The 12,717-nt window shown below is 46.2% G+C and overlaps 1 protein-coding gene across 2 annotated transcripts in view; it reads right to left on the minus strand.

Annotated features, from left to right (window-relative positions):
• Nucleotides 1-4,115: 4,115 nt before the first annotated feature.
• Nucleotides 4,116-12,717, minus strand: part of ANXA13 (annexin A13) — a 56,600-nt gene continuing 47,998 nt past the window's right edge. For both annotated transcript variants that reach the window (NM_004306.4, NM_001003954.3), the window contains 3 exons: nucleotides 12,193-12,268; nucleotides 7,932-8,044; nucleotides 4,116-4,681 (listed from right to left, as the gene is read on the minus strand). In NM_004306.4, coding sequence (NP_004297.2) covers nucleotides 4,562-4,681; nucleotides 7,932-8,044; nucleotides 12,193-12,268 — 309 coding nt within the window. In that variant the 3' untranslated portion in view covers nucleotides 4,116-4,561. The remainder of the gene's footprint in view (nucleotides 4,682-7,931; nucleotides 8,045-12,192; nucleotides 12,269-12,717) is intronic.

Raw genomic sequence — 12,717 nt, forward strand, 5'->3', positions numbered from 1 at the left:
ATGATTGGAATAGGGACTGGCCAGTTGCCCTCCAGCCCTTTGGACTTGAAAGCCTGAGTACTGGTGAGGGGTGGGGCTGAAAGGAAATGACAAAGGGCTATTGCCTCCAGTCTCCATCAGGCCCCAGAAGTCCAGATTAGGCAGTGCCACCTGTGCAGCAGAAGGAAGTGGGGTGTGTGTGTGTGTGCACACATGCACAGGTGTGTGCATGCATGCAGGAAGGCATTTTGCCTATTCGATGTGATTGAGGCCCATGTAGGGTCCCAGCAACCTGAGCAGAAGAAATAGGAGAGTTAGAGGCCAGAGAAGACTAAGAACGTGAGTGGCCAGTGCCACTCCAAGGGGCTCATGGGAGCAATGTCCCACCCTGGACCCTGGTGTCCCGCCCTGGCCCACTCTGGAGGATGCCTCCCTGCCTTCAGCTGCTGTGCCCCTCCCTGTGGGCTGGGAAGTCCTTGGGGTCCAGGAGACACACCCACTTGTGGCTTGGACACCCTTTTCTTGACCTAGCTCCTGAGACTTCAAAATGCCCTGCCCTGAGCCCTGAGCTGAGCCCTGAGCTTCCAGGGTTGCTGCGGGTCTCTTCCCAAGGTCCATAGCAGGTTGTGGAAAGAAGTTGGCTGGGTGGGCCAAGCTGTCCTCATAGGTCCCTCCCAGTTCAGGACAGACGCAGAAGCTGAAGAAATGGGCTGGACCCACACATTTGAGGGGTGGGCCTGTATGGGGGAGCCACGTGGAAGCCCTGGCACTGCTGAGAGGGATCTATGGAGGGCTGAAGCTCCCACAGTAAGTCATGGGACACCCTTGGCTCCTGGGGTGGGGTGGGAGGACTTTCAGCTTCTTCTATGGTTCACCCAGACCAGCTCCCCAGAATCTATTCACCCACAAAACCCAGGTGACTCACTGTGAGTGAGAAATAGTGTGGAGCACAGTCAGGGCCTGGCACAGAATTCCATGGGGAATGGCATACCTTGGCAGAATATGCTCTCCTCTGTGCATCCCTGGAGGTGGGGTTTGGAGCCCCCTACCTATCTAAGCATCTGGGTGGCAGGAGCTGGCATTCCTTTAGTGGCCCTAGAGGAAGGGGCTAGTATGAGGAACAGGGCTGTGCAGTGGGGAGATGTCAAGATGGTGATGCTCTCCTCTCTCCCTTCTTTCTATTTTTATCCTCCCCATTCCCTCTCTCTGCAGGCAGGCGGGCTGGGGGCACAGGGAGAAGTCAGAGGGACCTGGGCAGGGCAGGGGTGTGTGGAAGGGAAAAAAGAAGACATTCCTGAGTTGCCTCTGTGAGAGAGGCATACCTCTCTCACAGAGGGGCATACCTGGGGCAGACCAGACCCTAGGCGAATACCTAGAAACTGGCTCCAGCTTGCAAGTGATGAGCAATATTGAGCAGCCACAGAAAGGAACCTTGATGTCTCACTCAGCAAAATTTTAGACAAAAGCACTCATGGACCATGAGCTAGTCTGGCGAAGAGCACGGGCATTAGAGGCAGAAGGACTTGGGTTGAATTCTGGCCCTGGTACTTTATGTGGGTGATCTTGAGTAAATGACCTGGCTTCTCCATCTTATCAGCCTCAGTTTCTCCACCTGTAAAATATCTTCTTGCTTGTCTCTGTGTGAATTATGGCCATCAACAATCTCAAATTGTGTCTGTTTTTAATAGATCTCTTTTCAGTCCATTGATTTGTTTTTCTGTCCTTACCATGAGCTCAGATCCCAAAAACTGGTTGTTTTGTTTCTGGTTATAAAAGCAAAGACCAGCTTTGGCAACAAATAGGTAAATACAAATACGTTTTGTCACTGAGCTTGGTTCTAGAAAATAATTTTTTATGTATTAAAGTTTATAATGATGGCAATGACTATTAAGTAGATAAACCAGGATGTGGAAGACACTGATGTTAACATAACTTCTTAATATGTCCATCACTGTTTTGTAGCAACTAAAAAGACAATTATGGCATCTATCCTTAACTGATTGGGCTGTTTGTTATATGTTGATCACACCCCAAATGGTGTGAATGAGATTGTGCTACTTAGTAGTGTCAGGCACAAATAATCAGCCAATGAAGGATAACTATGATTATTGGACCAAGGTGTTCAGGTTCTGTTGACAGATCCCTCTATGTCTAGCAGCCACTAAAGTGATTTCCCAAAGCCCAGATGTGATCATGTTCTTCGCTTAAACATCTCCAATGACTGCTGTTGCCCAGAGGACCAAACTCATGCTTGGCAGGCAGAACCATGGCTGATGTGGTTCAAACCTATTTTCACAGCTGCTTTGCCTGCCTGCCAGGGCCATTCCTTTCTTTCCACACATCTGTGCCCCAGGAGAATGGATTTCACCTCTCCCTGAACACACCCTGCCCACTCAGGCTTCTCCAGCCTCTGCTTGTGCCCTTCTTCTTTTATTTTTCTGGAGAGCTTCTATGCATTCTTTAAAACCCAGCACAAATGCATCTCTGGGAAGTGTTCCCCAGTTCCCCATGCAGAGCTGTGTGTTCTCTCTTCTTACTCATAGGTAGAGCCCTTTACCTGCTTGATATGGTTTGGCTCTGTGTCCCCATCCAAATCTCATCTTGAATTGTAATCCCCATGTGTCGAGGGAGGGACCTGCTGGGAGGTGATTAGATCATGGGGGGAGTTTCCCCCATGCTGTTCTTATGATAGTGAGTGAGTTCTCACAAGATCTGATGGTTTAAAAGTGTGGCACTTCCCCTCCCCCATCTCTCCTGCCACCATGTAACACGTGCTTTGCTTCCCCTTTACCTTTTGCCATGATTGTAAGTTTCCTGAGACCTCCCCAGCCAGGTGGAAATGTGAGTCAATTAAACCCGTTTTCTTTATAAATTACCCAGTCTCAGGTAGTTCTTTACTGCAGTGTGAAAATGAACAGTGTGAAAATGAACAAATATACTGCTCTTATTAATGCACTTACAGCATTCTATTGAATAAAAGAGACATTATTGACCTGGGAATGAACTGCCCCAAGGGGAGTCAGTGTTCTACTTGTCTTTGTATCCTCAGAGCACACCACAGTGATTGGCAGATAGTAGGGAACTAAGCAGATGAATGAATACAGACCCATTCCCATGTACTTCAACTGATTTTTCCAATTAAGGCAGTTAGTAGCATGATTCCTGGTGTCAGCCAGCCCTGGATTGAAATGCTAGTTGACATGGTTTGGCTCTATGTCACCACCCAAATCTCATCACAAATTGTAATCCTCATGTGTCAATTGTAATCCCCAGGAAAGACCTGGTGGGAGTGATTAGATCATGGGGTCTGTGTCCCCCATGCTGTTCTCGTCACAGTGAGGGAGTTCTCATGAGATCTGATGGTTTTATAAGGGGCTCTTTCCGCTTCGCTCACCACTCTTTCTTTCCTGCTGCCACATAAGACGTGCCTCCTCCCCTTCCACCATGATTGTAAGTTTCCTGAGGCCTCCCCAGCCCTGCGGAACTGTGAGTCACTTAAACCTCTTTTCTTTATAAATTACCCAGTCTTGGTAATTTTTTACCGGTAATTATAGCAGTGTGAAAACAGCACTTGTAAATGAATTTAGATAGGTTACTTAATGTGTCAGTTTCCTCAACTGATAATTGGGAGTAATATTAACCACATAGAGCTGTGGGGAGGATTAAGAATGAAATTGGACTACTCAGTGTCAGGCACAAATAATCAGCCAATGAATGACAACTATGATTATTGGGCCAAAGTGTCCAGGTTCTCTTGACAGATCCCTCTATGTCTAGCAACACGTGGCTATGAGACTAAAGTTTTGGAACACAGAATCTATTGGTGTGGAACCAATTCACTTCAGAGGTAGACCATTGATCTTGATCTTGTTGGCACTTTGCTCAGCTTAATTGTATTTGAAGATCAGAGGGAAGACTCAAGTGGGTCAAATGTCTAGAGAAGAAAACCCAGTTAAACCAGGTAGCAGATTAGGGAATTTTACCCTTAGTTACAGTTTACAAAAGCAAGTGAATTGTTTCCTTATGACTAGCCTTGATTAGTGACCACTAAAAAATGTAGGTTTGAATTTCACAAGTCATACATTTCCCAGAGAAGAGCCCAAACTTATCAAGACAATCTTTGGAAAAGCAGCTGATAGAGGCATAATCCACAACTTTAATTAACAATGAGGCTTTCAAATTGAACACACAGAAGGAAAATTAATAAATTGTTTAATTTTGTCTTTCCTGTACCTTACTTGTGTGATGCATATCCTTCTAAATGTGCCATTACAAATGCATAGTTTTTTCATCAACTGCTGATTTCATTAGTGTTTAGAAAACATCCAGTTACCATGCTAAAAGAAAGTGAAGAGGCAGCCTAGATGCTTGCTAAGCCAGAGTTCAAGGTGCCCTGCCCACGCATCTTAACGTTACTGCCCTTAACTTACACAGCTTGGCCTGGCTGCGCCACTTAAGCTGCCAAGAAAGTAATCCGGGACTCTTAAGGGTTTTCGTGCGGGAGTCTCATTTGCAAGTTTGATTTGGAATGTGCTCTTGACAAAGGCGGTTCCACCCTGTGTTCCTATTGCCCTGGCTTGGCTCAGTGCAAGAGGGCTACTAGCAGTTTCCGGAAGTCCCCGGAGGTATCTGAGCGAACCATGTCAGAGAGAGACTTCTGATACTTCTCTTGGAACTTTGCTTTGATCCCCTGAAGGTCCACCTGTAGAAAAAATAACAGCAATGGAGATAAGAACGTTTATGGTGTGTTCACAAACAGTGGGCACTGTTCTACACATGTTATACTCATTTGCTCATTCATGCCTTAAAACAGCCCTTGAGATAGGGCTTTATTTCCTATCATTATTTCCTTTATCACGTTATTTCAATTTTGTGATCAGGAAAGGGAAGGCAGAGGTCAATTCCCCAAAGGTTGCAGAGGTGTCCACGTGTGTGTGTGTTCCACTAAAACTCTTGAATTTCTTTTTTTTTTTTTTTTTTTTTGAGACAGAGCTTTGCTCTTGTTGCCGAGGCTGGAGTGCAATGGTGCAGTCTCGGCTCACTGCAATCTCCGCCTCCTGGGTTCAAGCAATTGTCCTGCCTCAGCCCCCCAAGTAGCTGGGATTACAGTCAACCACCATGCCTGGCTAATTTTTTTCTGTATTTTTAGTAGAGACGGGGGTTTCATCATGTTGGCCAGACTGGTCTCGAACTCGTGACCTCAGGTGATCCACCCACCTCAGCTCCCGAAGTGCTGGGATTACAGGCGTGAGCCACCGTGCCTGGCCCTAAAACTCTTGAATTTCATACAGTTTTTACATGTTACAAAGTATTATCTTTCTTTTGAGTTTTAACAGTTATTTGAAAATGAATTGCCCTAAGCTAGCAGGACTGTACACAACCTGGCAGTGAGCCTGAATTGGCCTGCAGGCTGTAGTTGGTTGACCCCTGGTATAAAACTAAGAAAATTGTCAACACAGAGATGTGGAATTAAGCAATTAAGCAGTTTTTCCCTCATACCATGATTAGCAAGGATATTAGTACCAGTCAACACAACTCAAATCACTAGCAACTTGTAGGATTTATTTTGAATCTAATTTATTGGAAGCTTGAAAAACCCAGGTGCTAGAAGTGATGATAGGACTCAGGAGAAAAATAAATCCAAAGATTGCTCTGCCAGAAGATTCTTACAGCCTAGCAAAGGAGACGATACTTGTACCAGAAAAGATGTAATTCCAGGTAGAACATAATGGATCTCATAAAAGAAGCAGAGAACTCTTTTTAACCAGGAGTCTTTCTTTTCTTTTCTTTTTTGGCTTAGACCCTACCTTGTACTCCAGACCCAAAAAGTGTGGCTCAGGGATCTGATTCTTTCTTCTCTTGCCCCAGTGAGAGGGCTGAGCTGAGACAGTGAGAGAAATGATCAGGATGGGAGTATGTGGGGGAGTGAGGGAGGGTTTGCAGTGGATGTGGAGCAGGTGGCAGACACTACAGGAGACAGGTGGTGTCTGTCTCTCCCCCAGCCTGTGTGTCCCCCTGCTCCGCTGCTTGGCTCCTTGCCCCGTGCTGGGACACGGGCAGGAAGGTGGAGGGTGGGTAGGGATGGGGTGCACAGGGCTCTGTTCTGTGGCTTTGGGAGATTAGGAAATCTGGCCAAACTACTATATCTAGCCAGGCCTGAAGCCTTCTGAGGTAACTGCCCACATGTTGAGATGGCCCAGGACGTGTGGTTGATTCTGAGATGGGACAGAGCTTCTTGGAATAAAACACTCCGTGGGCCATGTCGGAGTGATCACGGAACCCTCACAAGCCCTTCGGATGGATCCAGTCTCTCTGGGGGTCATTTGGAATCCTGGGTCTTCATTGTGTTCAACCTGTCCCTTTTGAGTCCCTCAAGATCTCTCATCTCTCAGTGACTTTGGCTGGAGGTCGAGTTGCTAACAGACAGAGGGACGGACAAGGCAGAAGACCTGGAGAGAAAGGAGGGAGAGGGATTTGGAGCCATGGAGGAGAGAGGCAGAGGCATGGCAGGAGCAGAGCAGAGAGACTGGCAAAGGGAAAGAGGGGAGAGAGAGAGACATGGCCTTCAATAGAAAAAGATGAGTTGTGGAGGAGGAGAAAGGAGGGGAGGAGAAATTCCAGGAATAGAAATAAAAAAGCAAGAACCATCTTGTTGCAAAGTTATATTTAAAAACAGTGTCAGATGTTAAGCATTATTTGTTAAGAAGCCATGGATCAGAATTTGGGTTGGTGTCCCTCCCCCTTCACCTCCCCCTTCATTTAACCACTTTTTTTTTTTTTTTTTGAGGGAAGATGTCTGTGGTTTTCAAGTGCTTAGTTCCACTTCATTCCCCAAGGCTTCTCCTGCTGCCGATGAAATGCCACTTCCCCTTTATTTTGTACCACCTTCTGTCTGTGGCCCCATATCCCGAACTGTTAGCTGTGACCTTTTTTTTTTTTTTTTTTTTGAGACCGAGTCTCGCTCTGTTACTCAGACTGGAGTGTAGTGGCACCATCTTGGCTCACTGCAACCTCCACCTTCTGGGTTCAAGCAATTCTCATGCCTCAGCCTCCTGAGTAGCTGGGACTACAAGTGTGTGCCACCATGCCCAGCTAATTTTTGTATTTTTAGTAGTGACGGGGTTTCACCATGTTGGCCAGGCCGGTCTCGAACTCCTGACCTCAGGCGATCCACCCACCTCGGCCTCCCAAAGTGCTGGGATTACAGGCATGAGCCATTGCACCCGACCAGCTGTGATCTTGACGGCTGCTCCCAAGCCGTTGGCTCTTCCTCTCCCTTTTCTTTCTTATACATACACATTCTCCGAGAGCAAGCACAAATTGGTTTTTAGGGGGTGAAAAAGCCCTTAATTTTTTTATGTATAAAGCACTGATATCCACATGGTATATAAACAGATTTGTAGTATTATCTCTGGTGTTAACATTTCTTGTGGGGAAGGGATGGCAATGAAGAAACACGTGTCTAAAAAGGTTCCTTAGAACAGCAATAGTTTTTAAAAAGATTGAGAACCATTGCCTTATGCTGATGTGCTTGCTTCTGCAGTGTGTTCAGTTAAGGAAAGGCCTCACTCAGGAATTCAGAAATCATTCTCTTTTTGTTCCTGCTGCTGGTTGACCTCTTTCAAGTGTGTTTGTTTTGTCTTCCTTAACATGGAGCCATGCATAGCTGCAGCCCCTGAGAACTGCTCGACATGGTTGCCTCTGCGCCCCTCCACTAGCTCTCCAGAGCCACAGAGGACAAAAAAAGAAGCAACGATCATTATTGTATTTTTATAAAAAGAAACAGATTGAAGCAGAGCACAATGTCTTCTGCAAATTCTGGGAAGGCAAGGGGCCGTCTCTGTTTTACTTTTTCTGTAAATAGGCCCTTAATAGAAACTATTTGTTGATGACATCAGTGGTGGAAAAAAGAGAAGTTGCAGCCGCCTCTTTGGAGTCGGAGTGTGTCTTACCTCGGCCCTGGTCACGACTATGCGAATCAACGTCTCCTCATCGGTCCCCGCACCCTTCATCGACTTGTACAGACGTTCAGCAAAATAGTCCTCACAATCCTGGGCACATCTCACTGGGCAGGACAAAGGAAAAGAGAATGTGAGGCTTTCACGTTTTGTGGAATGACCTTGGGACCCCCCTAAATGTCACCTGGCTGCCCTTCGAGCTGACTGGATGGTGAGACAGAGGTGTGAAAAGAGCTGACTTGACACCGTTGCGAAATGAGATTTGGAAGATTCCCTGGTCAGAGCACCTGGAATCTTCAAGCATAGCTCCCCTCCTGTCCCCTGAAGACCCTCTAGAGGAGAGCTGTGGCATCCTCGGGCCCTCCCGGCCACGTCCATGATTCTCGTTATTTCCCAGCAGAAATAACTTTCCCTATCGAGTGAAATCTCTGGTGCTGTCCTAGGGTTCTGAAGGGAAACAGATTGGCCAGCAACCTTCTGGAACAAAACTTCATCATCTTGACAATGTATCCAGTTGGACAGCCGCCTGCTCTCCTATGCTCAACAACCTCCCTACTCTTTGTTTTTCCTCACTGGGGTTGTTTTGCAAGCCTCATCTCTGAACCTTTTCCAGGTTCCCCACGATCTTTTGGTTTGCAATCCGGGATGTGGACTTGATGAAATGTTTGATCCTTTTTAAAGATCACTTTCCTACGATGCTGCTATTTGCTCTTTCCTGGCTTCCCCTTGCCTTCCAGCTTTGATCTATCTACAGCTTAATGAAGCGTGGTCTCTATTCATCAAGCAGGTGACAGGGTGCATCTCTTCTCCTGGGAATAAATCATTCCTTCCCCTCTTCCCAGGCTCATATGAATCCATCATGGCTAACACGTTAGAGGAAAAAAAAAATATTTGCCCTTTAGGCTGTTAACATTTCTCTAGAACACTTGATGATGTTAGTGATTAACAGTAAGTGATTATTTCAGCATAAATGTGGAATGTGCAATCTTACTATGTCCCATAATGGGGCTGTTGTTGTCTAGGGGACTGTCTGTGTGATTGATGCTTATAAGCAGGGGAGAGGAGCAGAGTTCGGGAAGGAGAGTCTAGTTTGGGGACCAGCCGCCTTTTACAGGCCATGTGGCAGCTGCCACAGTTTCAGTGGAAAAGAAAATCGCACCGGAAAAGAAACAATGTCTGGCCTCTTTCTCCTGAGAACAACCCAAAAGCTGCTGGATTGGTGGTTCAGGGGAAACTTGCATGCTATTCTGGGGAGTAGCATATTCAAGACTTACTGTGATCCCCAGACAATTTGAGCTAATGAGCACCACAAAGTTTTCCTGAAAATCCTCTTCCATACAGCACGGCTTGATGTGGGGATCATTGTCTGCCTGAAGTCACCGTGTTCCGCTCCTGCACAGGGATCTTCTCCCTTGACATTCCTTCTACCTGATATTTCAGGAAGAAAACTCTCAACATTTCTCCTGTCTATAATCTATGCTTGGGGAACAACCTCTGTTGTTAGCAGCAGCAGGAATCTCTCAAAAGGCTGGGCAGGGATAGCCAAAGAAGATGTGGAATAAAATTATTCACTGCAGCCAGGCATGGTGGCTCACACCTGTAATCCCAGCGCTTTGGGAGGCCGAGGTGGGTGGATCATTTGAGGTCAGGAGTTCGAGACCAGCCTGGCCAACATGGTGAAACTCCGTCTCTACTAATAACATAAAAATTAGCCAGGCTTGGTAATCCCAGTTACTTGAGAAGCTGAGGCATGAGAACCACTTGAACCCGGGAGGCAGAGGTTGCAGTAAGCCAAGATTGCACCACTGCACTCTAACCTGGGTGACAGAGTGAAACTGTGTCTTAAAAAAAAAAAAAAGAAAGAAAGAAAGAAAGAAAAAAACCTCTTCACAGCAAATGGCAGGAAAGGCAGCCAGCCCGGTGCTCTATATCTTGCTCCCCTTTGCCTTCAGAGTGAGTTCCTGAACTTCAGTGAGTATAACACAGTCACTTGGACAGTTTGTAGAAGTGTGGCTTCCCAGGCTCCCTTCCTGGAGGTTCTCAATGGGAACCTGGAGTGGGGCCCAGGAACCTGCATTGTAACAGGTGATTCCAAGGTAGGGGGTCCATAGACCTCACTTTGAGAAATGCTGCTCCAGAGGCTGGATGTGGTGGGAGCCATTTGACCTCACCCCCTGCTCCTAGATGTTAGTCATAAACTGGCATCGCTGTAAGTTAGGTGGGAGCGGGGTGGGAAGTGTCTAGAAAATAGTCATGAAGCCGTATTCTGTTATTTGTGTGGCTTATTCTCAAGGTCTTTTCTAATCACTTTTTTTCGCTACCACTGGAGTACAGCTCTCTCTTGGACTGTGTGGTCCTCAACCCCAGGGACTTGGCTTTTCTGTCATCTGTACCATCTTTGCTCTTTGTTTTTTTATCTTTATCTTTAGCCTTATCTGTTGATTTGTACCCACCAGCTTAAAATCCACCATGAGCTTTAGGCTCCTTAAGAGCAAGAACTGGCCTTATTTACCTCTTATTCCCAACCCAGCACAAACCCTGGGCCCAGGCAGGTGCTGAGTAAATGTTAAATCATTGAATAGTTTTAATACCATCTTCTGACTGCACTCTGGTGTTTTCCCGATTCTCACAATGCAGGTATAGCAAGCAAGGACGTACAGCCTCAGAACCAGGCTGTGAGTAGATCCTATTATCTACTCAAGACTCTTCTTAATTATGCCTAGTGTTCCATTATTGGAATGTTAAGCTTGTAGGAGTTATTTATATCCTACTGCTCAAGGTCATCGCCGAGGTCTGAATTTTTCACACATGTCTGCAATTCAAAAAATTGCAACCTCCGGCATAAATGGCTTAAGGCCCTAAGCACAGTCACTTATACCAGGGCTCGTGTATATATCCAGTGTGGGTCATGAGTAATGCCAGGGATTTTTAGGCCTCCGGATATCACAGCAGAGGTCTTGCTCATTGAATGCAAAATAAGGATGGATTAAAAAAAAATCAATTGCTGACATTGTTCAAAAAAACCCCAAAGAAACCAAACAAAAGAGTTTGGCAACTGGAGCACATTTTTTAACTTCCAGGGCTGCTTATTTGGTTCTTCCTCTTCTGAGAACAGGTCTCTCCATTCCTTCTGCCATTTGGGTTGGTGCCCTGGATTCCTCACCACAGGACTGTGGACAATGGACAATGCCTTCATTCCAGGGCTTGCAGAAAGAAAGAAGGAGCCTGTCAGACACAGCCCCATGCCCATCTCTCTGCTATTTCCTGCCTTTGGGCAACACCTGGAGAGGAGGTCCTGGGGTTTGGTTGGCACAATCAGGATCTGATCTCCCTCACCTCTCTTTCCAAACAAACTTCATTATTTGAAAACATTGAAAGGAACCAAATGGAAAAGGAAACCTGTGAGCTATCAGGCTGCCTGAAACTGGATAACAGTCTAGGTTGTTGACAGGTGCCCTCAGGGACCCATGGTGTTAGTGGGTGATATGGTGTGGCTGTGTCCCCACCCAAATCTCATCTTGAATTATAGCTCCCACAATTCCCACATGTTGTGGGAGGGACCCAGTGGGAGATAATTCAATCATGGGAGTGGTTTCCCCTCATACGGTTCTCATGGTAGTGAATAAGTTTCACGAGATTTGATGATTTTATAAGGGGTTTCCTCTTTCGCTTGGGTCTTATTCTGCCTTGTCTGCCACCATGTAAGCTGTGCCTTCCGTCTTCAGCCATGATTGTGAGGCCTCCCCAGGCACGTGGAACTGTGAGTCCATTAAGCATCTTTTTCTTTATAAATTACCCCATCTTGGCTATGTCTTTATCAGCAGCATGAAAACGGACTAATACAGCAGGACTGCAATGGATGCTGTGGTGTGCCACTCAGATGCCCTATTCAGGATCGAGGCAGTCATTCACAGCTGAGTCCCTCCCCAGGAATCTCCCTCCAAGGGAGAGAGCTGGCTTGCCCAAAGTTGCACTGCTCCCCTGGTACAGCCAGTGTTACATGACTGTTTGATGTGGGGTGCAAAAGCCTGGCCCCCTTGCTCCACCTTGGACATCTCAGCTTCCAAGCTTCCTGTGGGATCAGCAACGCCCCTGTTGCAACTACATCACAGTCACTCTCTCTCTTGCTCAGTGCTGCTTAGACCTGTTGACCCCCAAAAGCTATTCCCTCAAATCTTCCTACACACAAACCTCTGTCTGAGTCTGGTTCCAGGCAGCCCAACCTAAGACAGGAGCTCTCCTAACTTTACTTTACCGAGAGTTAAATAGGCCTTCTGCAAGTCGCCTGATGTTTCTTCTTCAATGGCTTCTTCTATGTCTTTGCCAATGAGCTGCAGCGAAAACCAAAATCAACTGTTATTCCAGGTTTGCCTTTGACCTTAGTACTCTTGGGGTTGTTCCTCTACAAAAAGCACTCAAGTTTTCCAGATTTAGTCCTGTGGCTTCAGGGAACTGCTATCCTGACTCTTGCCTTGTAGGATTGGGGTGTTTGCCACCCATTCGAGAGAGGGCTCTCGTTGCTGAGGAGTCAGTCTAGATTTGACTCCCAATGGATTTGACCTTAGTGCCACTCCCTCAACCTCAATTTCCTCATCTGTAAAATTTGGGAGTGGAGAAACAATTAATATATAATATATATTATAATATATATAATTAATATATTATATATACTATAATCATAGATTTTTTTTTTAACATTGATGTGTAGTTTAGTTCCCATGTGTTCTTCACCCTTTCCAGTTTCAATTTCCCAGGAGGCTGTGGTTATGATCATCTGACA

The sequence above is a fragment of the Homo sapiens genome, chromosome 8 (assembly GCF_000001405.40).
Source record: "Homo sapiens chromosome 8, GRCh38.p14 Primary Assembly".
Classification (NCBI taxonomy): domain Eukaryota; kingdom Metazoa; phylum Chordata; class Mammalia; order Primates; family Hominidae; genus Homo; species Homo sapiens.